Source organism: Homo sapiens, assembly GCF_000001405.40.
Source record: "Homo sapiens chromosome 15 unlocalized genomic scaffold, GRCh38.p14 Primary Assembly HSCHR15_RANDOM_CTG1".
NCBI classification, from domain to species: Eukaryota; Metazoa; Chordata; class Mammalia; order Primates; family Hominidae; genus Homo; species Homo sapiens.
In genome coordinates, this window is record NT_187382.1 from 339,572 (window position 1) to 367,450 (window position 27,879).

General features: G+C 35.5%; 1 non-coding gene and 2 pseudogenes across 1 annotated transcript; 2 read left to right on the forward strand and 1 right to left on the reverse strand.

Moving 5' to 3' along the window:
* Positions 1-8,869: 8,869 nt before the first annotated feature.
* On the forward strand, positions 8,870-9,807 carry LOC102723632 (olfactory receptor 4S2-like; annotated as a pseudogene).
* Positions 9,808-11,982: 2,175 nt separating this feature from the next.
* Positions 11,983-27,879, forward strand: part of LOC105379529 (olfactory receptor 4N2-like) — a 67,679-nt pseudogene continuing 51,782 nt past the window's right edge.
* On the reverse strand, positions 12,955-13,055 carry LOC124905328 (small nucleolar RNA U13). The gene has a single exon (XR_007068543.1). It is a non-coding gene; the product is annotated as a small nucleolar RNA U13 (small nucleolar RNA).

Here is a 27,879-nt window from a genome sequence, read left to right on the forward strand (position 1 = left end):
AGGGATTACCAGGCATGTTTCAAGAACATAGAGCTCCAGGCTTTCTCTTAGTATAAGCCGGCTGCAACATCCCCTTTTTCTGATGCTCTCTTTCATAGCAAAATGTATAGTCTTGGCAAATCATTTTAAATGTCCTGTTGATAGCTGGAATTGGTAGCGTTATTTTAAGAAAAGCAAGAGCGTTTTGTATTCCCTTTTGCATTTTCAAGTCTCTCTTTGTTTCCAGGAACAAAGCCTACTTGATCGTGGTGAATTAACTTACTGATGTGCCGCTGAATTTGGTTTGCTAGTATTGTGTTGAGGATTTTTGCATCTATGTTCATCAGGATATTGGCCTGATGTTTTCTTTCTTTGTTTTGTTTCTGCCAGATTTTGGTATTAGGCTGATGCTAGCTTCATAGAATGAGTTAGGGGGGAGCCCTTCCTTTTTGATTTTTTTGGGAATACTTTCAGTAGGATTGGTACCATTTCTTCTTTATATGTCTGGTAGAATTCAACTGTGAATTCCTCTGGTCCTGGGCTTTTTTTGGTTAGTAGAGTTTTTTTTTTTTTTATTACTGATTCAATTTCAGAGCTTGATATTGACTTATTAAGGATTACAGTCTCTTCCTAATTCAATCTTAGGAGATTGTGTTGTTCCAGGGATTTATCCGTTTCTTCCAGATTTTCTAATTTGTGTGCATAGAGTTGTTCATAGTATTCTCTGAGGATCTTTTGTATTTCTGTGGGATCAGTTGTAATGTCATTTTTGTACTTTTTGACTGTACTCATTTGGATCTTCTTTTTTTTTTTTTACTATTTTTTTAATCTAACTAGCAGTCTAACAATCTTATTTTTTCAAAAGACTAACTCTTGGTTTCATTGACGTTTTGTATAGATTTTTGCACCTCACTTTCATTAAGTTGTTCTCTAATTTTTGTTATTTCTTTTCTTCTGCTAGCTATGGAGTTGGTTTGTCCTTTATTTTCTAATTCCTTGAGGTGCAAAGTGCAGGAGGATGAAGCTAGACCCTTGCTTTTCAGCATGTAAGAAAATTAACAGGATAGATTAAAGATTTAAATGTAAGGCCACAAACTATGAAAATCCTAGACCAAAATCTAGGAGATATTTTTCTTGACATTGGCCTTGGGAAAAAAATTAGCTAAGTCCCCCCAAAGAAATTGCAACAAAACCAAAAATTGACAAGTGGGACCTGGGTAAACGAAAGTGCTTCTGTACAGAAAAAGAAACTATCAAGAGGGGAAACAGACAACTTACCGAATGGGAGAAAATATTTGCAAACTGTGCATCTGACAAAGGTCTAATATCTCAAATGTAAATAGAACTTAAACAATACAACAGACAAAAAACAAATAGCCCTATTAATAATGGGAAAAGGACACGAATAGATCCTTCTCAATAAAAAGACATGCAAGGAGCCAACAAATATACAAAAAAATGCTTATCACTAATCATCAGAGAAATTCATACCAAAACCACAATAAGATACCATCTCATGCCAATCAGAGTGGCTGTTATGAAAAAGTCAAAAAACAACAGATGCTGGTGAGCCTGTAGAAAAAAGGGAGTGCTTGTACAGAGTTGTTGGGAATGTAAATTAGTTCAGCCTCTGTGGGCAAAATTTTGGAGACTTCTCAAATCACTTAGAACAAAGCTACTATTTGATCCAGCAATCCTTTTTTTTCCTCTCTCTCTCTCTCTCTCTCTGTGTGTGTGTGTGTATATATATATAAAATATTTTATATATAATATTTTATATATATATAATATTTTATATATATATAATATATAATATTTTATATATATATAATATTTTATATATATAAAATATTTTATATATATATAATAGATTATGCCAAATAGATTATGCCAAAAAGACCAAAAAGACACACACAGTTGTATGTTCTTTTCAGAACTATTCAGCAAAGACGGAATCAACCTAGGTGCCCATAAATGGTAGACTAGATAAAGAAAATATGGTACATACATTATCAGATACTACGCAACCATACAAAAGAATGAAATCATGTCTTTTGCAGCAACATGAATGGAGCTTCAGGCAATAATCTTAAGCAAATTCATGCAAGAACAGAAATCCAAATACTACATGTTCTCACGTACCAGTGGGAGCTAAACATTAAGCACACATGGACATGTACATGGGAACGGTAGACACTGTGGACTACAAAAGGTGTGATGAAGGGTGGGGGGATGGGTTGGGAAACTACCTGTTGGGTACTATACTTACTACCTTGGTGCAATAAACCCACGTAACAAACCTGCACATGTACCCTCTGTATCTAAAATAAAAGTTGAAATTAAAAAAAGAATGAAAGGGAATGAATAAAGCTGATGTTTATAGGCCCTCCCAAAATTTCTGGCTCATAACATGCTTTGAAAGATTTTATAAAATCATTTTTAAATTTAATAATTTTTAAAATTTGGAATGGTTATAGATTTACAGAAATGTTGAATATCACATAATATAATTATACCTCATGCTATTTTCCTTATTGTTATATTACTATGGTACATTTGTCAAACTAATATTGATACATTACTACTAACTACATTGCACTTTTCATTCAGATTTCATTAGTTCTTAATGAAACGGCTTACTCAAGTTGTCTATTTTTTATTTATCATGGCAGTTATTTAATTTATTGCCGTTATGTCCTTTATATTCCCAAAAAACTTTTTGTAATTATTCTGTAAATAAATACTTGAAAATACTTGGTGAGCTTCCATTACTTACAGGAAATGGTGAAATCTATAACATAAATACAGTGCAGTTCTAGTTTTTATCTTTTTAAGTGAATATTTGACTTCCCCCCACCACTCTGTTCACATCTGTGCATGGTTTCTTATTTATTTATTTGACATGTAAAACTTGTATATATTTGTCATGTACATGATGTTTTGAAATAAATATGTCTACATAGTAAAATGGCTCAGTTGAGTTGATTAGCATATACATCCTAGCCCTACCAGTCTCTCCCTCTTATTTCATCAAACCTATACTTTCTTGTTTGCATGTTCTATCCTGCCTCAGATTCTGATACACATATGAGATTCTGTAGGGGTGTAGGGTCTGCATGGTGATAAGAAAATCTAGGATAATAACTAAGATTTCTCATACTACAACACCACTCTACACCTTAGGCCTTGTTCTAGTAGAAAAACTTGTTCCAAGATCAATTATCAATCCTAATTCCAATTTTTGCCCAGTCCTGCTCCACAGTTTGAACTTCTGAACTATGTGCAGCTTCCTCATATTTCTATGTTTCTGAACATGCTGCTACTTCTGCTGGAATTCTTGACCAACTTTTCACCTTCAATACTCTAATTAAAAGTGTTGTTTTCAGCCAGCTTTCAGAATGGTTTTACAAGGAGTTATTTAGTAGAGACTACACTTGCACCTCTGCCTAATCATATTCTCCAGCTGCTTACCCAATCACTTGTGCAGCATTTCTCTCAGGGTTTTGATGATGCATAAAGATTGCGGAGAGTTTCTTCCCTTTGGCATCCAGGAATGTAGAAGTCTTTTGCATACCAAGGTTAGAAGCTATGGCATGGTTGTAAACTCATAAAATACTATCTTTGTGAGGGAGAGAGAGAGAGGAGAGAGAGAAAGAGAAAACAAACTCAAGACCACTTTTTAGACTGTACAAGAGGAAATGTGGCATGTATATAAGAGAAGCATCATTATATAAATCTGTCTTTTAGTGTGCGTATCTTGGTATCAATCACATTTTTATTTCAAAGGCTTTTCTGATCCAAGATCTCAGATTGTTCAAATCCATGAGGTGGGACCACACTCAAGAAAAAGTCCAGGGTAAGCTTTCCATCTAGAATGATACCTTAACCACCAGTGAAAGAAGCAAGGTCAATTTTCATTGATTCAAATTATATTCAAAGGTAAATTCTTTACTTCTGTAAATTATTCACCTGCTTTACAACGTCTGTTCTAGTAATTAATTTAAGAAATAGTATATTACAATTTAAAGTGTGTATCAATATAATTTCAGTTGGAATTTAGTCCTAGGTTTACTAGGTTTACCACCATCAGTAAACTTAGATAATTTAATTCCCTCTCTTGACCTTATTTGTTTCCCAGTGGTTAGATGAGTGTGAAAAAATCAATCTCTAAAATCTCTTATACATAGATAAGTATAGGACTTAACAAATTATGCTTCAGTCTAAGATGATTTAAGGAGATCATTTAAAACTGCTGCTCTAAAATAAATGGTTTTATGTCAGGAATTGGGTCGTGCTCCTCGTTTTATATTCACAGTGCAGTACCAGACACAGATAATATGTTTAGTAAATATTAAGTGAAAAGATAAATTAATATTGGTACTTAAGAAATATAACTCAAATAGATGATACCTTAAGCAATCTATATATTGTGCTATGCTAACTCATTTGCAGATTTTTTTCAATATTTATCCTTATATTTCAGCTCCACAAAGACTAGTAATTGTTTCCTCAATTGGAGCCAATTAGAGGAACAGGATAGGATTAATAAGTAATAAAATAATGTCAGGTAACAAGAGACATAAAAACATGCACATGTGTTATAATGTCTCTATGAGGGATATTGAAGTCAAGAACACTATTGCACGAAAAGTTTTCCATGAGATAGAACTTGCTGTTAGGAAAGAGATCTAGAATAGTATATGGCTGCCCTTTGTAAATCCCTCATGAGAGGAACTAAGACAGTCTCTTTCCCAGAAGATTCCAAGAGTTGCATTCTTTGAAATTGTTCTATTGGAAATAATTTATGTAGGCTCATGGAGTTAAACAAAGGAGGAAACATTTTTAACTACGCAAATCTTATTTCAACTAATATATATTCTTTAGCATTGTCTTAGAGAGATCAAGTTTAACCTAAGAACCTGGGTAGACCAGTAGAAACAATCCACCCCATAGAGGCTCTGGTTCATAGAGTTCAGACGTCTGATACTGGTGTTCCTGAAATTCTACCACAAAAATGATCAAGAGTTAGTTTGGCAGATTGTTTATTGCTTTTTTGTCCATTATCTAATTTGAGTCTTACCATGGGTAGCATTATCTCACAGGGGAGATTAGTAGATGCTAGAAAAATTATGTTAATGTTACACAGTCTGAAGAGGCAGAGCTGTGAGTTGTTCTATCTTTAAATCTTGTGCAGTTTCTCCCAGCAAAGATAGCAAAAAGATCTTGGGTCCTAGACTATGATTAATTTGATGAACTCCTCAGGAGGAGTCTAGATAAAGTTGAGTTGTCACCACTCAGGGTGAATAGATCAGCTTCCCAAACATCTTTGGGCATCCATGCTTGAACTCTTAAATACATCTATGCAAGAATATAGAATGTACTCTGTTGCTGCTCCAGTCAAAGGAGTATACTTGGGAGGGTAGGTGTGAGCAGTAGATACAGTCTAAGATTTGGACAAGCATAAGCATGCATATAGGTGAGAATCAGGAGATTAACATAGTAAGGAGGTTAGTGTTCTAAGATGACTCCTATCCAGGCTTCTGGCTCTCCTTCCAATCAACATTTTCTCTGATAGCAAAGATGGATAATGATAATTATATATTTGCTTAAAGTATGTTATGCACATAAGTGCTTTATATGTAATATATTTAATATGTATAACACTCTATATAAATGTACTATTCTTATCCACATTTTACACTTGAGAAAACTGAGGCAAAGGGAAGTGAAGTAACTTGCCTAAAGTCATAAAGTTAGTAAATGCTGAAGCTGAAATTTGAAAGTAGACCAGTTAGGGTTCCAGGCATCTTTTTCACAACTTCTCTCCCCCACCTTCCATCGCAGCTACTCTACTCCTGTGGCTGGATCTTTCTTTATGGCACCCCAATTAATTCAATTGCTAACTTTTAAGCTTAACACACAAGACTCTGTAATCTAGACTTGCCTTCTTGTCAGCCTCATCTCCTGACACTTTCCTATGTGGATTGTGTGCTGAATCATACTCAACTTGCTGGCACTCCCCAAAGAGGATGGTGTAATGATTTTTACCTTCACATATTCTATTTGCTAGGCCTGGAAAGTTCTTCCTGCCCTGTCTATTCTTTTGTGCCCACACCCTGCAATCCTCATCATCATCAGTTTAACTCTAACTCATCTATCAGAATTCCACTCAGTGACAACGTTTGAAAAGGCAGTCCTGTCTCTCCTGGGCTTCCTTCCTGAGCCCCTTCACAGAGAACTGTCACAGTTTACATGTGGACCTCCTCCACTTGATTGAGAATACTTGCCAAATCAAATAATGACTGAATGAATGATCAGTATCACATCACTTGTTATTACATCCCCACTGTAAATTTAATTTGAGAAAAGTTGGCACAGACTCTATGCTGTGATGATCTTGCTAGTTGCAGCTATAGTCTTTGTCTCTAAATAGTGTATATAATTAAAAAAAACTTTTCATGATTAGAAGAAAAGGAGTCTTTTGATTATTGTAGAAGGTTTAAGGCTTTCAAATGAGAAACATATTTGGTGGCTTTGATGCCATCAGACCCAGGATATGCATAGTAGTTAGGAAAATAGATCCTGAAGACTCATTGCGTGGGTTCAAATACCAACTCTGCCAATCACTAGATCTATAACCTTGGGGAAGTTACTTACTCTTTCTGTGCTTCAGTTTCCTCATTTCTGAAGTGGGAATAGTAGTGATGGACTACTTTATAAGATCATTGTGGGAGTTAAATGAGCTATATGTAAAACATCTAGAATCAAACTTGGCATATAGTAAGTACAATGTGTTTTCTGTTTACCTAAACATTTTTTCAGCCCTTATGATTTTGCCAACTGGTGATGACTGAGCGCAATTTGACTTTGCTGGTATAGGACGCCGATTATTTAAAGATTTTAGGAATGTGAAACATATTCTCCAATTGAAGGACTTTGCACGATAAGGAAGCAATTGTTTAAATTCAATTCTTTTTGTGGTGGCAGGTGACAGTAATCCCAGCTACTTGGGAGGCTGAGGCAGGAGAATCACTTGAACCCAGGAGGCGGAGATTGCAGTGGGCCGAGATCACGCTGTTGCACTCCAGCCTGGGTGACACAGTGACACTTCCTCTCCAAAAAATAATAGTAATTAAAAAATAAAATAAAGAATAAGTTCAGTTCTGTTTATGAGAAATTTATCTATCTAATCTTTCTATCTACCTATGATTTATTTAAGGATATGTCAGTTATGTGTGTTCTGGAGAAAGAATACCACAATTATACCAGTCCTTTCACGGAAAATTATATTGGGCAATTTGCCTCTTTAATCTTTAGTGCTACTCTGTAAAAAGGAGATAATAAAAATTATTATATTTTTGTGAGGATGGAATTAAATAACATATGCAGAGTTTAGCACACGATTCTGCACATGGTAAAATGCTCAGTAAATGTTAGCTTCTATTAATGATATTTCTTTAATGGAGATTGGCAGATATTATAGCTATTATCTCAGAAATAAAATTGTATATGTTTTTAATATTTTCTAGTAGTTACATTATATAGCTTTTATATAATAACTAAATACACCAAATTACAAATTATGCTTACTAGAGAGATTCCACTTGATAGATTCTAATTAAAAGGAAACACCTCATAAATTCAAAACATGTTCTATAGATCTCATTTGAATTCTGAAACAGCTTTGTGAGGTAAAAAATTTTATCATTCGTCTTCTATAGGTGAGAAAACTGAGATCCAGGGAAGATAAATAGATTTACCCAAAGTTATAAAGCTGATGAGGGCACTCAAACTTACACCACTCAGCTTCTGGGCAGTGCTCTTTCTGCTCTCCATGCAGAAAAGAGGTATTCTGAGTAAAGACGGAAAATAGCTAGTAATTTTCATATTTCAGAAAAGCCATTTTTATTTCAAGAAACTTCAGATCTTGTCTAATATTAATCTCCTTTAAGAATTTTTTCCTGATTATTTTTATCCATTATTTTTCTCTGTATGATGCAAGGATTCCTATTACAGTTTATAAAATGGCTTCAGACACTTATTTTTAAACTATCATTTATAACATTATCTGTATGATAAATTTCATTCCTAATTTTTCCTGTGATCACAAGGACAGAGAGTTATCTGGGTCTTTTTCAAGGCAAAGGGATTGAGGATGACAGGGACCTGCAAAGGGATTGAGGATGATAGGGAACTCAGTAACTTTAAAATGTTTCAACTCTTCAGAGCAACATAGAAAAAAGTATTTCTCTGTATAAGTTGATCACTTCTCATGTATTCCTTACTGGCAAGCAAAATGGAATTTTCAAACTGCAGGTCCAGGCTTATGATTCAAATTTCCTCAATGTTGATTTATAAGCGCTAAAAATGACTTAATTTTTAATTGAATTGAGACTTTTAATCTAATTGAGAAATTGGAAACTGAGTCTTCCTCTCTTGATTAAATAAAATGTTACTTTTCTATAGGTGAGTAGCATACATTATATTTGAAGGATTCTGAAATTTTATACATCAGATCTTATACTCTGACTTCATGCTTTTATTTACAGCCTCAAAAAATTAATTAATTTATTTAAACAAAGTTCTCACTCCAAAGTAAATTTCTGACAAGAGAAGTTGGAGGTGGGGGGAGAGAGAGCACTGATTAGGGAAAAACATTAAATTCAATAAAAAAGACTCAGATTCTCTAGGTTCTTGTATGGAAAAGAGGAACTATAAGACTAATTATGAAAGAAATTCAAATGTGAGTCAATAGTGTGGAAATCAAGCTAAAGACAAGAAAAATATTCATGAACTATGTTCAAGAAATATGAAGAACTTCCTCTACCATATTTAACATCATATAGGTGTTTTCACAAGACTCTTACTGATAGGCTTTACTATGCTTACCATGGTTTATAACGTGTTTATTTTTGCAGAGAACCAGAGTCACTCCACGAGTCCTGCCTGGGGCCCCATGAAAGTGGCCAACAATGTCACTGAGTTTATATTCCTGGGACTTTCCCAAGATTCTGGAATGCAATTGATGTTCTTTGTCTTATTTCTCCTCTTCTACGTCGTGATCATGGTGGGAAATTTGCTCATTTTGCTTATGGTCTTTTCTGACTCCCGACTACACACACCCATGTATTTCTTCCTCAGTAACCTGTCTTTTGTGGACATTGCCTATTCCTCAGCCACAGCACCCAAGATGATTGAAGACTTTGTTTCTGAGAAAAAGACTATTTCCTACTGGGGCTGTATAACTCAGATGTTTACCTTCCACTTTTTTGGTTGTGCTGAGATTTTTGTTTTGACTGTCATGGCTTTTGATCGCTATGCTGCTATCTGCCAATCCCTCCGTTACACTGTCATCATGAGTGCTAATGCTTATACTGTGCTGGCATCACTGTCCTGGTTGGGGGCCCTGGGTCATTCCTTTGTTCAGACCCTCCTGACCTTCCAGCTGCCCTTCTGTAATGCTCAGGTTATAGACCATTACTTTTGTGATGTCCACCCAGTCCTAAAACTTGCCTGTGCTGATACAACTCTGGTAAATATGTTGGTGGTTGCCAACAGTGGTCTCATCTCCCTGGGGTGTTTCCTCATTCTTTTGGCCTCCTACACAGTCATTCTGTTTAGTCTTCAAAAACAGTCTGCAGAGAGCTGACACAAAGTTCTCTCTACCTGTGGATCTCATCTGACTATAGTAACTTTCTTCTTTGTTCCGTGTATCTTTATTTATCTCCATCCACTACTTTCCCATTGGATAAAGCTGTGTCTGTGTTCTATACCACCATCACCCCAATGCTGAACCCACTCATCTATACTCTGAGGAATGAGGAGTAAAGAATGCCATGAGGTGGCTATGGAGTAGCAAGATCTCCTTGAAGGAAAAGCAGAGAGGATAGTTTGTCAGAATTGCAAAATCACTGAATTAGTGGATACCTTCAATGATCCCTAATTTACTAATAATTAAAAAAACAGTTCCTAAAATGCAGCTTTTATATTTTGTCTAACAGGAAATAATTTGAGGCTATTTTAGACGGGCTAAACTTAAACCTTTCCATACTTGGCAAGGTTTATTCTCTCTTCTAGAGTACAAGAGTTAACACTCCTACTCAATATCTCATTTAACCTCGTTAAATCCCTTCTATTCACATCAAACTCTCTTAAGCTACCATTCAGTAATTTAGAGTGGGGTTATAAGAGAAAGATATCCCTGATCATATCTTCTCACCATATCATGTCTCTTCAAAAAAGAGGTCTAATTTACCAGAAGCTGCACCTTTTCCCTCCTTCTTTTGTTTTCTTTTTCGTCCTTCTCTAGTCTTTTCTTATACATATTGCAAAATCTAGTCAGGGAAACAGATTTGCAAGGAGATAATTACAATACAATACAACAAATGCAGACATAGAAATACATACTTCCTATAATGAAGAGGGTTAGTATAAATCAACAAATTGCCCAAAGGATGGTTTCTGTGCAGGAAAAAAAAAAATAGAACTTTACATATTTTGAGGTGGACAGCAATTTCTTCAAAGACCCTCTTGGAGAATTTGAATACTCTTCTACCCATTACTATAATACTATCTTTACTGAAAGAAATCTTACTTTTTTGCCAATAAAAACAGACTAGATTAAAGCAACTAAAATGAGTTGGTATTTGTACCATTGAAATGACTAAGGAGATGTAATTCTATTATAAATTTTTAGTTGAACTTGTCTTCAGTTCCTTAAAACAACAAAATGGAATAAGCACATTTTCTTCTTGTGGTATTCTTAGTAAAGTTGAAAAATAGTTAAGTATTCTCAGTATTCTGGAAAAGGCATTTTTCTTCTAAGAAATTTTCTTAGATCTTGTCTCATGACTGATGTTGTTCAAGAATTCTGCCCTGATTATTTTTGTTCAACATTTATTTTCTATATGCCTTAAGCAATCCTGTATGCAATTTATAAAATATCACTTACCTTTTTCTCTTTTTTAGTGGATTTTTATCTGAGATCTACAACTTATGAAGAATACAAATGATGTATATTCTTTTCTACTCTTCATGTATGGACTAGAGGGGCTTGCACAGTAGGTACTTGTCAAAATCTGTTGATTGTAACTCCAATTTCTATTTTTTTCCTTAGTAATGGGGACCTGACATTATTCATGGTGGCCCAACTAAAATATTGCATTGACTTGCCTCAGGCTCTTTTAAAATTCAATTCAATAATTTAGAATGACCTTATAAGAAAAAGATATTCCTTTTGAAGCCCAGTGGACAATCTGATGTTAATAGTAGTTGGTTGGTGGGACTTTTGAAAAGTCTTTAAAATGGTTTGTCTACTCCAGCCCTCTCATACATGATCACCATTAACATTTTGATTATTAAAATTTCTTTATAGTTATTGCATGTCCTTATAGTTATTTTCATATTACTTTCCCTTTGCAAAAGGGTCATTCTATCCTTTTTTTAAACTCCTGATTTTTTAAGATAGACAACAAACCCACAAATTATATTAAAAATGATAGAATACATTAGGTTTCCTTTTCCCTCCTAAGAGCAAAGTATTAATAATAAAAATAACAACACTTGCAGTAAGAAAAAAATGGCTGAGACCCACAGGAACAAAGAAACAGGACAGGAGTTAGATGCAGAGAAGAGATTTCAACAAAAGTTTGGAAGAGGTAAGACAAAAAAGTAGTAACTGATTTGGCAGGGTCGGGAAGGCTAAGTCTAAACTCCCAACAAGAGGAATAGTGAGGAAAAGGGGAGAGATTCATTTCCTGGAATCCCTACGATGATTGGGATGCAGGATGCCAGGTCAGCGGGAGGTGAGGTTCAGGGCTGCTAATGAAGATTAAGAGAAAGGAACAGTTCAATCTTCTATCCTCTCTTTCTGCTCCCAGATGCTAACGGTAGCATCTGAGTCACAGACAGAACATTGGCACCTTTGTTTAAGAAACTGAATGTTAATGTCACATCTGCCTTTGGAGATTACAAATGAAATGGCTACCTTTCTACTGGAACCCTGACCAGAAGTCTGCCAGTTAGTAAGCTGGCTTAAGAGATCAATCTAAAATTTACATAAGGCTTTTGAAAAAAAGAAAAAAGTAAGTCTTTAAAAAAGCCAAAAGGAAACTGGTGGAATTAGAGGTAATTCGTGGGGGGGGGGGGGGGGACTGTAAAAAACTGTATCTTCTCATCAATGAAAGAAAATATTTGTAATCTTGAAATAAGAATATGATGTACTGAAAAAATATAGAAAAATTATTTTTGGAAGGTAAAATCAAAAAGAACAATAAACAAAATTAATATGGCATTAAAAGAAATAAAACAAGTAGTCAAAGAAGTCATAAAAGTACAGTCTCTATGAAAGTAGAATGAAAATGTCAAAGAAATAGAAAACATGAAAGATAAAAACAAGAAACACAAGGAATCAAGTTAGGGGCAAACCATTCAACTCACACATATTCCAGGAGGACAAATTAAACAGAAGGATGGATTTAAAAGAAACAATGAAAATAAATTTCTTAGAACAGAAAAGCTTAATTTTCTCGATATGAAAGATTTACTGAATGCCCACCACAAGATTTAAAAAAAATCCCAAGGCACGTTATTATGAAATTTTATCACCTTAACGATTGAAAATATTGTAAAATTATTAAGAAAAAACCATATAGCTCACGAATGAACAGAAATTCAAATGGCATGAGTATGCTCTGTAGCAAGCTCATCCTTAGAATACAGTGGAAAAGTTTCTCACACTGATTTTCAGGCTAGAATTCTATACAGAACAAATCTATCAGGAAGATAGAATAAAGCATATTTAATCATACAAAAATTTATAAAGTTTACTTCATAAGTACTCTCTTTTTTTGAAAGTGTGGGATAATATATCCCAGCAAAACAAGAGGAAGAAATGAGATCAATAAACTAATATATGCAATGCAGGGTGGCTAAAGCCACTTTAAAAAAAATCCCAATCTCTTTTTTCTTTCTTCATGTGAGTCAGGTAATGTATATATGTCATAAGGTTTGAGGGAGGTACATTTCACACAGGAGTGCAAAAACTCAGTCATCACGCTTATGAACTACGAAGGGATCAAAAGGCACTTTTAAGATGACAGATGTACAGTAGGCATAGGAGACAACAGAAATGGATGAAAGCAGAAGATGGAAGCCCTCCAGGTTCATAAAACAGAAAGGAGAGGGTGAAAATTTATATTATCTAATATATTGAAGCATCTTAGTTGTAAAGGTACAGTCAATAAGATGAAACAAGTTGATACACTCAAGGAAGGATACATTTATAGAAAATTATATCATTTAGAGTTCCAACAGGAAGTTAATGACACACTTAATATAGGATAATTTGATAAACATTTATTTAACGAGATGCTGTCTATGAATTTATAGGTATAGAGTACCACACAGGCCAGGGGTAAGATGGGGTGGAGCTGTTTACACCATTGTGCCTGAAGGGACTGAGAGAGGGAGGAAATACAGAAACCCCAAAAAGAGATATTTATGATAGCCATTTGAAAGGAGGAATGACCTTCAGTGGGAGGTCAACCAGCATGTGGCCACATGGTCTAGCTTATTCTCCTTCATTCCCCTTTTCCAGTTTTATTGAAGTATATTTGACAAATAAGAATCATACATATTTAAATGTGCAACTTGATGTTTTGAACTACGTGTACACTGTGAAATGATCATCACACTTAAGATAATTAACATATCCATTACCTCACAGGGTTATGTTTTTCTGTGTGTGGTGTGAACCCTTAAGATCTACTCCCTTAGTACATTTCAGTTGTCCAATACAGTATTGCATTGTAATACAGACACCATGTTGTGCATTAACTCTCCAGAACTCACTCATTTTTGCATAACTGAAACTTTGTAACCTTTAGTCCATTATCTCCTCATTTCTCCCTTTCCTTTCCACTCTTGGCAACCGCCATCCTACCTTCAGTTTGAGTATTTTAGATTCCACACATAAGTGAGATCATGCAGTATTTGTCCTTCTGTAAGTTGCTTTTTAAAGGCTGAATAATACTCCATTGCATATATATACTACAATTTTCTCAGGCTTTATTGAGGTATGATTTACAAATAAAATTTGCATATATTTAGGGTATATGCATACTTACGAAATGATTACCACAACCAAGCTAATTAATATATTCATCATGTTACATCATTACCATTTGTGTATAATGTGTGTATGTGTGTGTGTTAACACTTGAGATCTACTTTCTTAGCAAATTTGAAGCTACTGTACATTTGGTCTCCAGTACTTACTCATCTTGTAGCTGAAAGTTTGTACCCTTTGACCAACATCTTTTTCCTGGCATTTCCCAGCCCCTGCTAACCACCACTCTACTGTCCATTGCTATGAGTTTGATTTTTTAAAATATTGCACCTGTATGGGATATCATGTAGTATTTGTCGTTATGTATCTGGCTTATTGCACTTAGCATAATGTCCTCCAGGTTTATCCATGTGGCAAATGGCAGGATTTCCTTCTTTTTAAGGCTGAATAATCCATTGTGTGTGTTTGTACCACATTAAAAAAATCTATGCATCTGTAGATGAACACTTAGTTTGTTTCTATATCTTGGCTAGTGTTACAATGCTGCAGTGAATTTGAGAGTGCAGATATCTCTTTAAGATAGTGGTTTTATTTCTTTTGCATACATACCTAGAAGTGGGATTGCTGTTATTATATGAGAAGTTTATTTTTTTTTTGAGGAGCCTACATACTGTCTTCAATAATGGTTGCACTAATTTATATCTCTACCAAAAGTTTACAAGGGTTTTGTATTAGTCCGTTCTCACACTGCTAATAAAGACATATCTGAGACTAGGTAATTTATATAGGAAAGAGGTTTAACTGACCCACATTTCAGCATGGCTGGGAAGGCCTCAGGAAACTTATAGTCACAGTCATGGTGGAAGAGGAAGCAAACATGTCTTTCTTCACATGGTGGCAAGAGAGAGAAGACTGAGAACTGAGTAAAGGATAAAGCCCCAGGTAAAGTCATCAGATCTTGTAAGAACTTACTCACTATCACAAGAATAGCATGAGAAAACTGCCCCCATGATTCAATTACCTTTCACTGGGTCTCTCCCATGACATGTGAGGACTACGGGAACTATAATTCAAGATGGGATTTGGGTGGGGACACAGCCAAACCATATCAGGTTTCCTTTACATCCTTGCCAACACATGCTATCACTGGACTTTTTGATAAAAGGCAATCTAACAGGTGGTTGGTGATATCTCAGTGAGGTTTTGATTTGCCTTGATGATTTCTGATTTTGAGCATTTTTTCCATATACCTGTTGGCCATTTGTGTATCTTCTTTGGAAAAATATCTATTCAGATCCTTTGCCCATTTTATGAAATCATTTTAAAAATATCTTTTGCCCATTTAGAAGCTTGTTTGTTTGCTATTTGGTAGTATAAGTTCTGTATATATTTTGGATATTAACTCCTTATTGGATGTGTGGTATACAAATATTTTCTCCCTTTCTGTAGATTTCTCTTTCATCAAACAAATAAAGATGAGACCAATGTCCAGGAACTTTTCCCCATGTTTCCTCCTAGGAGTTTATGGGGCCGGGTCTTATGTTAAGTCTATAATCCACTTTGAATTAACTTTTGTGATTGGAATAAGAGAAGCACGGATTCTTTGCATGTGGATATCCAATTTCCCAACATCATTTATAGACGAGTCTGTCCTTTACATTGTATATTCTTGGTACCTTAGTTGAAAAAATTAGCTGACTGTAGGTATGTGAGTTTAGTTCTGAGCTTTCTATTCTGTTTTATTGGTATACATGTTTTTATGCCAGCAACATCTGTTTTGATTATTACAGTTTTGTAATGGAGTTGAAATCAGGAAGTTTAATACCTCTAGCTTTGAACTTATACTCAAGATTGCTTAAGCTTTTCATGCTCTTTTATGGTTGCATATGAATTTCAGAATTATTTTTTCCATTGCTGTGAAAAATGTTCATTGCCATTTTGATCGGGATTGCGTTGAATGTACAGATCATTTTCAGTAGTATGGACTTTTTAACAATATTAATTCTTCCAGTTCATGAATATGGGATATGTTTCACTTATTTTTGTCTTCCACAATTTATTTCATTAATCTTTTATACTTTTCAGTGTACAGATATTCTACCTCTTTAGTTAAATTTATTTGTAAGTATTTTATTCTTTTTGATGTGCTCATAATGATAACTTTTTCTTGACTTTTTCTTTCTATAGATCATTATTGGTGTAAAGAAATGCAACTGAATTTTTCTGTTGATTTTGTAGTCTGCAAAATTACTGAATTTGCTTATTAGTTCTAACAGTTTTTTAGTGGAGTCTTCAGGATTCTTTCTACATAGGATCATGCCATCTTCTAACAGAGACACTAACTTTTTTATTTGGATGCACTTTATTTCTTTTTCCTAATTACTTTGGTTATGACGTCCAGTACTATGTTGAATGGAAGTGGGGAGAGTGGTCTTGTTCTTGATCTTAGAGGGAAACATTTCAATTTCTCATCGAGTATAATGTTTATCATAGGCTTGTGATATACAGGCTTTATTGTGTTGAGGTACATTCCTATAATTTGTTGAAAATTTTGTATTGTGAAAGAATGTTGAATTTTGTCAAATGATTTTTCTGCATTTGTTTAGATGATCTCATGGTTTTTATTTCTTATTCTGTTAATGTGGTGTAGCACATTTGTTGATTGTGTATGTTGGATAATTCTTACATCCCAGGAATAAATCCTACTTTGTCGTGATGCAAAATCTTTTTAATGTCCTGGTATATTTGGTTTGCCAGTAGTTTGTTGAGGATTGTTGGACCTTTGTTCACAAGGGACATTGGCCTATAATCTATATTTCTTGTTGGTGTCCTTATCTGGGTTTGGTATGAAGGCAGCGTTGGCATTGTAAAATGAGTTTTAAAATATCCCCTCCTCTTCAACTTTTTGGAAGGATTTTAGAAGGATAGGTATTAGTTCTTTTCAAAATATTTGGTAGAATTCAACTATGAAGCCATCAGGTCCTAGGATTTTCTTTGATAGGAGATTTTATTATTGATTCAATCTCCTTACTCATTACTGTTAAGATTTTCTAGCTCTTCATGATTCAGTCTTGTAGGCTGTATGTGTCTAGGAATTTATCCATTTCTTCTAGGCTATCCAATCTTTTGACTTGTAATGGTTCATAGTATTATCTTATGATTCTTTATATTTTTTGTAGCATCAGTTGTAATGTTTCCTTTTTCATTTTGGCTTTTATTTATTTAAGTCTATTTTTTCTCAGTGTAGATCAAGTATTGTTGATTTTACTTATATTTCCAAAAATCAATCTTAGTTTCATGATCTTTTCTACTGTTTCTCTAGTCTCACTTTCATTGATTTCTTTTCTAATCTTTGTTATGTCCTTTTTTTCTAACTTTAGGCTTAGTTTGTTCTTTTTTTAGTTCATTGAGCTGTAATGTTAGGTTGTTAATTTGAGACCTTTCGTCTTTTTTTTGTAAACATTTATTACTATACATTTCTCCCTTAAAACTACTTTTGCTGCATCCCATACCTTTTTGTATGTCATGTCCATTTTCATGTGTCTCAAGATATTTTTACATTTACCTTTTGACTTCTTTTTTTGGCCCATTGGTGGTTGTTTAATTTCCATATGTACATGAATTTTCCAGTTTTCCTGTTATTATTGATTTTAGTTTCATACCACTATGGTCAGAAAATATATTTGATATGATTTCAGTCTTCTGAAATTTGTTAAGACTTGTTTGTGGCTTAACATACAATCTGTCCAGGAGAATATTCTGTGTAAGCTTGAGAAGAATGTGTGTTCTGCTGTTGGATCAAATATTCCGTGTATGTCTATTAGATTCATTTAGTCTGAAGTAGTTCAAGACAATGTTTTCTTAATAATATTCTTTCTGGATGATTTATCCATTGTTGAAAATCAGATATTAAAGTTCTCTATTAATATTGCATTGCAGTCTATCTCTTGCTTTAGATTTGTTAATATTTGCTTTATATATTTAGGTGCTCTGATGTTGGGTGTATTCATATTTATAACTGTTCTATTATCTTGATGAATTGACTTTCTTACCAATATCTAATGACCTTCTTTGTCTCTTGTGACAGTATTTAAAGTCTATTTTGTGTGATACACATGTAACTGCTACTGCTCTTTTTTGGTTTTCATTTTCATGGAATATTTTTGTTTTTTATCCCTTTACTTTTAGTCTATGTGTGTTATTAAAGGTGAAGTGAGTTTCTTGTAGGCAGCATTTAGTTGGATCTTATTTTTATAAATCAATTCAGCCACTTTTTGTCTTTTGATTGACAAAATTTGCTTATTTATAGTTGGTAAGTAAAGATTTATTATTGTCAATTTATTGTTTTCTGGTTGCTTTGTAGGTCCTTTATTCCTTTATTACTCCTTTGTTGTTTTCCTTTGTGATTTGATCATTTTCCTCGGTGGTATGCTTTGATTCTTTTCTGTTTATCTTTTGTGTATTTACTATAGGTTTTTAATTTGTGGTTGCCATGAGGCTTACATAAATATTCTTATTGTTTTACCAATTCACTTAAAGACGATAACATCTTCACTTTGATTGCTAAAGAAGCTCTGTACTTTTACTTCCCTTCTCTTACATTGTGCTTTTGATGTTACAGTTTACATTTTTTATATGTCTTAAGAATTTATTATAGCTATAGTCATTTTTCATACATTCATCTTATAACTTTATAATGATGTTGTGATTTACACCACCACCATTATGGTGCTTGAATATTCTAAATTTAACCATATATATACTTTACCAGTTAGTTTTATATTTTTATATGTTTTAATGTTACTAATTAGCTGCCTTTTATTTAATCTTAAAAATCCCCCTTTAGCATTTCTTGTAAGGCAAGCAATAGTGAAGACTCACTCAACTTTTCTTTTTTTTTTTCTAAAAAAGTCTTTATCTTCTTCATTTCTGAAGGACAGCTTTGCTGGCAAAATATTGCTGGTTGGCAGTTTTATTTTTCTTCCATTGCTTTGAATATATTATTTCATTCTCTCCTGATCCTCAAGGTTCCTGCTGAGAAATCCACTGATAGCTTTATTTGGGTCCTTTTTTATATGACATGATTCTTTTCTCTTGCTGCTTACAAGCTTCTCTCTTTGTTTTTGATTTTTGCCAGGTTGATGATAATGTATGTTTGTGGATTCTTTTTTTGGTTGAATTGACTGGAGAACTTTAGGCTTCATGCATCTGGATGCTCATTTCTTTCCTGACATTTGCTAAGTTTCCTATGATTATTTCCTTAAATAAGCTTTCTATCTAATGCTCTCTCTATTTTTCTTCTGAACCTACTATAATTCTAATGTTAGCTCTCTTGATAGTATTCCATGGCTTCTGTAGGTTTTATTCTTTTTTTTCTTTTATCTCCACTTACTGGATGATTTAAAATGCTCGGTCTTTGAGTTCACTTATTTTTTTATTCTGCTTCACTTAGTCTGATGTTCAAGCCTCTATTACATTTTTTTAGTTTAGCTGTTGTATTTTTCAGCTCCAACATTTCTGTTTGGTTCTTTTTAAAATATTTTCTGTCTCTTTATTGAGCTTCTCATTTTGTTCTTGGATTGTCTTCCTGATTTCATTAAACTATTTATTTGTGTTCTCTTGTAGTTCCCCAAGATTCCTTAGGCAATTATTTTGATTTTTTCCAGGCAATTTATAGATCTCCAATTCTTTGGGGTTGGTTACTAGAAATTAATTTTGTTCCTTTGGTGGTGTCATGTTTTCCTGCTTCTTTGTGATCTTTGGGTGTTGATTTTGTCAGTGACTAAACCTGCTGGAGTCCTCTGTGGAGTTAAATACTATAGTTTGTGCAATGATAATTGTGGGTTCCTTGGTAGTAAAAGCAGTGTGGTATGTGCAGCTGATAATGACAGGAGACAGACAGATTCCTAGGCAGACAGGGATAAGTCCCTGGTGAATCCCAACCTTCAAGCCAAAGACAACCTGAGGCCTGAAAACCAAGCCGCCAGTTCCAGGTGGAGTCCACGACCCAACTGAGAACTTCCTCAGTGCCTTTTAGTCAATTAAATGGTGCTTTTTCCAGGCCTGCCCATGAACCAATCAGCACAGATTCCTCCATTCTGAGCCCATAAAAACCCCAGACTCAGCCTCACAGATGGCTCTCTGCTTTCAGCCCCACTCTTACACAGAGGGCTGCCCACTTTGGCTACTCTCTTGTTGTCAAGAGCTTTTCTGCTGCTCAATAAAAATCTCATCAGCCTTGCTCACTCTGCGGTGTCTGCATGCTTCATTCCTGTTGGTTGCAGGACAAGAATCCAGGATCCACTGAACAGTGGGTGCGAAAAGAGCTGTAAGATACACCTCCTGTTCACCAAGCTACAGAAGTGAAAAAAAAATGCTGGGTGCCACAAGTCCCCAATTGCTGAGCTGTGGGCAGCAGGACTGAATGAGCTGTGACACATCCCCATTTGCTGAAACTGCCAGCAGTGAGAACGAACAAGAGCTGTAACACTTCCTGGGGGCTCAGACCTTGACTCCCAGAGCAAAAGCTGTAACACCTCTTCGGGCTCCACAGTTGCTGGCATCTCTGAGTTTTTGGGCACTGCTGCATCCCCCTTATCCAGATGCCAGCGCTCAAGGCAGAAGTCAGTCATAGCATGCCCAAACCAACCGTGGGCTGAGCACTGAGCTACGGTGGGTGTCATGGCATCTGGGTGAGTGAGCATGAGTGGAGCACAGCCTGCCAGGCCAAATGAGCAGGACGAGCTCAGAGGGCCTGAGTGAAGCCTCAGCAGAGGCTCTGCTGGCCATCGAGATTTCCACTTGGCAAAGTGGCCCTCAAAGAATCCTGTGTCACATCCATGAGGGCTGTTGAGGTCCTTGGTATAGAAGGCTACCAGAATTCCGCTCAGATCAGGCTACTGGGGACTGCATTGATTCCTACCACAGGACTGATACTGATAGACCTCATCATTTCTCTTTCTTACCAGCAGTTTACAGATTTCTCTCCTATGTTGGTCTCCCTAGCAATCTGGGATGGGTGAAACTTAAGCTGGTTGTTTGGGCAATGCTCCAGTAGGCTGGGTAAGATGGTTCACTCCACTCTCCTTTTCTCTGCAAGGGGAACTTGCAAGCTGAGCAGTGACCTCTCCATACTGAGCACTGCCAGCCTGAGGAAGATGACGCAGGCAAAATGAAACTGTTTTTTCTACCATTTTTTTGTGTTTTTTCTTGAAGTTTTTCTGTCTGCTCTGTTGTTTTAACTTCTGAAGTAGATTCCTGATCTCTGCTAGATATTTTCATTTGTGGATATTTACCCAGTTGTTGTTCCTTTAGGAGGAATAAAGACTGAGATCACCTACTCTGCCATTCTAGCTGATGTCTAACACATTTTCTTTGTTCATCTGTCTATGGACTTTTAGGCTGTTTCCATATCTTGGCTTTTGTGAATAATGCTGTAGTAAACATGGGTGTGAAGGTATCTCTTTGAGGTTCTGATTTCAATTCTTTTGGACATATTCCTAAAAGTGGGATTGCTGAATCATATAATAATTTTGTTTTTAATGTTTTGAGGAACTGACACATTATTTTTCATAGTGACTGCACCATTTTCTATTTCCACCAAAAGTGTATAGGAGTTTCAATTCCCTAAATTCTAGCCAACACTTCTTTTGTTTTTTGATAATAGCCATGCTAATAGGCATGAGGCAATATCTCATTGGTGTTTGGATATGCATTTCCTTAACAACTAGTGATGCTGAACATATTTGCTTATACCTGTTGGCCATTTGTGTATTTCCTCTGAGAAATGTCTTCAAGTTTTTCACCCACTTTGAAATTGCATTATTATCATTATTATTTTTGCCATAGTATGACTGATTTTTAAGTGCTTCTTATATAATGGAGTTATTTCAATTTATTTTTTTCTGTTCATTATTTGCCTGTTAAATTTGTCTTTATTTTCTAGTAATTTTAAATTGTTTTAATTTCTAACATTTTCCCCTATATTTGTGTTTGCCATTGATAAATTTTAAATTTCATTATCAAATATGCTATAACTCTTTTCTTATTGTTTTTCCTTCATAGGGGCAGGATATACTTAAAAGTTTTTATTTATTCCAAAATAATTTAAATAGTCTCTCTATGTTTCTAGTAATTAAAAAAATTACTCCTTTGCAATTTATGTTAAGTATAAGTTATAAAATATAATTCTTTTAAAAAATCTGGTTAACCAGTTGTTCCAGCACAACTTATTGTGTCCTCTGGGACAATAGAATTGAAAATGCACGTCATACTCTAGAGAGCACATATTGTACATCGTAGCATTTTCCACCCCTAATCCTGGGAAATTCGCCATTTTTCTTACTTCTTCTGTGAAACTCAAAAGTTGTGTTTCTGTGCTCTTTGGATGAAGTGCAAATCAACTTTTAAATTATTCCCTCAGGGCTTATGTTCCTACCTGGCTTCTCCTGGCCTCCAGAGGATTGATTTTTGTAGTTACAGCTCATGCTGCTAGTTAGTTTACTGTTACATCAGGGCAGAAACTGATGCATACCAACATGTACCCAGGATAAAGTCCTCCACTGCGGGTGGTGGAAGAGGCTTCTTCTACCTCCTCCCCATAGTTCCTGAAGGCACCAAGACTGTCACAGTAATTGGTAGGTGGAATGTTGTTATAACATTTACATAAACCATCCTATTTTTGAGACAGTAGGACAGATAATAATGATGGGAATAACTATGTAAAATGCTCAGAGATCAGTGGTAAGAAACAGAAAGCAGCATGTAAGGAAATGTCTTAGGGAACTGTGATGATAGTATAGAGTAGGTTTTAGCTGTGGAGTGGGTGGACAAATTGTTTCTTTTCAGCCTTGGTCTCAATAATTAAAGCATTTTAAAGTCAGGGTTGAGCAGGGCATTGAAGAGACAGCTTCATCATTTTATACTCATAGGATGAATCATTTCTAAGCAAGCTCAGAGAAGGCTGTTTTGATTTATGGGTCTTCAGAGCGTGACAGATTATTAAAATAAACGTCCAAAATTTTGAATCCTTTTACTCCTGGAAGAAAGACAGGAAAACCCCAAGATCTTTAGTTACTTCTTTTTATTTTTATTTTATTTTATTTTTTTATACTTTAAGTTTTAGGGTACATGTGCACATTGTGCAGGTTAGTTACATATGTATACATGTGCCATGCTGGTGCCCTGCACCCACTAACTCGTCATCTAGCATTAGGTATATCTCCCAGTGCTATCCCTCCCCCCTCCCCCCACCCCACCACAGTCCCCAGAGTGTGATATTCCCCTTCCTGTGTCCATGTGATCTCATTGTTCAATTCCCACCTATGAGTGAGAATATGCGGTGTTTGCTTTTTTGTTCTTGCGATAGTTTACTGAGAATGATGATTTCCAGTTTCATCCATGTCCCTACAAAGGATATGAACTCATCATTTTTTGTGGCTGCATAGTATTCTATGGTGTATATGTACCACATTTTCTTAATCCAGTCTATCATTGTTGGACATTTGGGTTGGTTCCAAGTCTTTGCTATTGTGAATAATGCCGCAATAAACATACGTGTGCATGTGTCTTTATAGCAGCATAATTTATAGTCATTTGGGTATATACCCAGTAATGGGATGGCTGGGTCAAATGGTATTTCTAGTTCTAGATCCCTGAGGAATCGCCACACTGACTTCCACAATGGATGAACTAGTTTACAGTCCCACCAACAGTGTAAAAGTGTTCCTATTTCTCCACATCCTCTCCAGCACCTGTTGTTTCCTGACTTTTTAATGATTGCCATTCTAACTGGTGTGAGATGGTATCTCATTGTGGTTTTGATTTGCATTTCTCTGATGGCCAGTGATGATGAGCATTTTTTCATGTGTTTTTTGGCTGCATAAATGTCTTCTTTTGAGAAGTGTCTGTTCATGTCCTTCGCCCACTTTTTGATGGGGTTGTTTGTTTTTTTCTTGTAAATTTGTTTGAGTTCATTGTAGATTCTGGATATTAGCCCTTTGTCAGATGAGTAGGTTGCAAAAATTTTCTCCCATTTTGTAGGTTGCCTGTTCATTCTGATGGTAGTTTCTTTTGCTGTGCAGAAGCTCTTTAGTTTAATTAGATCCCATTTGTCAATTTTGGCTTTTGTTGCCATTGCTTTTGGTGTTTTGGACATGAAGTCCTTGCCCATGCCTATGTCCTGAATGGTAATGCCTAGGTTTTCTTCTAGGGTTTTTATGGTTTTAGGTCTAACGTTTAAATCTTTAATCCATCTTGAATTGATTTTTGTATAAGGTGTAAGGAAGGGATCCAGTTTCAGCTTCCTACATATGGCTAGCCAGTTTTCCCAGCACCATTTATTAAATAGGGAATCCTTTCCCCATTGCTTGTTTTTCTCAGGTTTGTCAAAGATCAGATAGTTGTAGGTACGCGGCATTATTTCTGAGGGCTCTGTTCTGTTCCATTGATCTATATCTCTGTTTTGGTACCAATACCATGCTGTTTTGGTTACTGTAGCCTTGTAGCATAGTTTGAAGTCAGGTAGTGTGATGCCTCCAGCTTTGTTCTTTTGGCTTAGGATTGACTTGGCAATGCGGGCTCTTTTTTGGTTCCATATGAACTTTATAGTTTTTTCCAATTCTGTGAAGAAAGTCATTGGTAGCTTGATGGGGATGGCATTGAATCTGTAAATTACCTTGGGCAGTATGGCCATTTTCACGATATTGATTCTTCCTACCCATGAGCATGAAATGTTCTTCCATTTGTTTGTATCCTCTTTTATTTCCTTGAGCAGTGGTTTGTAGTTCTCCTTGAAGAGGTCCTTCACATCCCTTGTAAGTTGGATTCCTAGGTATTTTATTCTCTTTGAAGCAATTGTGAATGGGAGTTCACTCATGATTTGGCTCTCTGTTTGTCTGTTGTTGGTGTATAAGAATGCTTGTGATTTTTGTACATTGATTTTGTATCCTGAGACTTTGCTGAAGTTGCTTATCAGCTTAAGGAGATTTTGGGCTGAGACAATGGGGTTTTCTAGATATACAATCATGTCGTCTGCAAACAGGGACAATTTGACTTCCTCTTTTCCTAATTGGATACCCTTTATTTCCTTCTCTTGCCTAATTGCCCTGGCCAGAACTTCCAACACTATGTTGAATAGGAGTGGTGAGAGAGGGCATCCCTGTCTTGTGCCAGTTTTCAAAGGGAATGCTTCCAGTTTTTGCCCATTCAGTATGATATTGGCTGTGGGTTTGTCATAGATAGCTCTTATTATTTTGAAATACGTCCCATCAATACCTAATTTCTTGAGAGTTTTTAGCATGAAGGGTTGTTGAATTTTGTCAAAGGCTTTTTCTGCATCTATTGAGATAATCATGTGGTTTTTGTCTTTGGTTCTGTTTATATGCTGGATTACATTTATTGATTTGCGTATACTGAACCAGCCTTGCATCCCAGGGATGAAGCCCCCTTGATCATGGTGGATAAGCTTTTTGATGTGCTGCTGGATTCGGTTTGCCAGTATTTTATTGAGGATTTTTGCCTCAATGTTCATCAAGGATATTGGTCTAAAATTCTCTTTTTTGGTTGTGTCTCTGCCCGGCTTTGGTATCAGAATGATGCTGGCCTCATAAAATGAGTTAGGAAGGATTCCCTCTTTTTCTATTGATTGGAATAGTTTCAGAAGGAATGGTACCAGTTCTTCCTTGTACCTCTGGTAGAATTCGGCTGTGAATCCATCTGGTCCTGGACTCTTTTTGGTTGGTAAGCTATTGATTATTGCCACAATTTCAGCTCCTGTTGTTGGTCTATTCAGAGATTCAACTTCTTCCTGGTTTAGTCTTGGGAGAGTGTATGTGTCGAGGAATTTATCCATTTCTTCTAGATTTTCTAGTTTATTTGCGTAGAGGTGTTTGTAGTATTCTCTGATGGTAGTTTGTATGTCTGTGGGATCGGTGGTGATATCCCCTTTATCATTTTTTATTGTGTCTATTTGATTCTTCTCTCTTTTTTTCTTTATTAGTCTTGCTAGCGGTCTATCAATTTTGTTGATCCTTTCAAAAAACCAGCTCCTGGATTCGTTGATTTTTTGAAGGGTTTTTTGTGTCTCTATTTCCTTCAGTTCTGCTCTGATTTTAGTTATTTCTTGCCTTCTGCTAGCTTTTGAATGTGTTTGCTCTTGCTTTTCTAGTTCTTTTAATTGTGATGTTAGGGTGTCAATTTTGGATCTTTCCTGCTTTCTCTTGTGGGCATTTAGTGCTATAAATTTCCCTCTACACACTGCTTTGAATGCGTCCCAGAGATTCTGGTATGTTGTGTCTTTGTTCTCGTTGGTTTCAAAGAACATCTTTATTTCTGCCTTCATTTCGTTATGTACCCAGTAGTCATTCAGGAGCAGGTTGTTCAGTTTCCATGTAGTTGAGTGGCTTTGAGTGAGATTCTTAATCCTGAGTTCTAGTTTGATTGCACTGTGGTCTGAGAGATAGTTTGTTATAATTTCTGTTCTTTTACATTTGCTGAGGAGAGCTTTACTTCCAACTATGTGGTCAATTTTGGAATAGGCATGGTAGTTACTTCTTATAGTTCTTCAGGATGATCTCTGTGAAGAGGAAGGGAAAGGTGAGGCTTGAAATATTTCATTTCAAAGGGATTAGTGTTAGTAGTAGCAAAAACTTTGAAAATAAATAGAAAAGCAAAAAAGAAACTTAAAAGCAAAGAGACTCTTACTTGAAATAAATGTGGGTGAAATATGTATTTTAACAAAAAGGATTCCAAAAAGCAAAATTAGGAATTATGTAGCAGAGTAGGGAAAGAAGAAATGAATTAATAAAAACAATTAGATGTTGTGGTGTTTAATTTTTGTCAAAGTCTACTGATCTATTTATTCAATAAAAAATCCATGTAATCATCCCATCCATCCATCCATTTAACAAACACATATTGAAGACCATAACATGCTAGGAACTACTTTAGGCAGTAGATATATAAATGAGACATACTCCATGACCTCAAGGAGCTCAGAGTTCCTGTTATATTTTGCAAAATACAAACTGAAAAATTACAATGTAATGAGTTAAAATTTGTACTGGGGGTGTAAACAGTACTATTATGGGAGCCATAAAAATATGACATTTTTATGGAACTTATATATACAAAATTCATACAAAATTTCAGGCATTTTAGAAAACAAGCTTCTGAGAATAGCTGAAGGATTTAAAAATAGTGATACATCAACAATGTAACAGGACTGTGGGTCTGGGAAAAATGTGGGGAGCATTATATGCATTAATCACTACAATACCTGTGAAGTAGGTACTGTTATTATTTCCATTGCACTAATGAGGCACACTGAGGCAGAGGTAAGTGAGTTGCCCAGGATTACACAGCTAGTAAGTGCTTAGCTGTGGTTAGAATGAAGGCACTGAGAAATAAAATAAAAATGAAACCCTTAGCTCCCCAAGCTACTGAATGGACCCTCTCTTGGCCAAGGGCACCCCAGAGTAACCTTAAAAGCTGAGTTTTCATCCATGACAAGATGGGCGGTCAGAGGTGCCTTCTTACATCCCCGCCCTCACTTAACTACCATTAGACTTTCCTACCTAAGTGCTAAATAGAAACCAGCTCTTTTGAAAGACTCCACTGCTGATATCAACAAATCACTGAAGCAGTTCCTCTTTTTTTGTGGTTTTAACATGGCAATTAACCAGCATTCCTTCCTGATAAGAGACCAACTATATGCTACTCATGAAGGGGCATGAAGCACAATTGTGCATGTGCATGGTTGTCCTTTCATAAATATTCAAGATTCCTCCTATAGCTTATTGAGCATATGTATTTGGCCACCTCACTCAGTACAT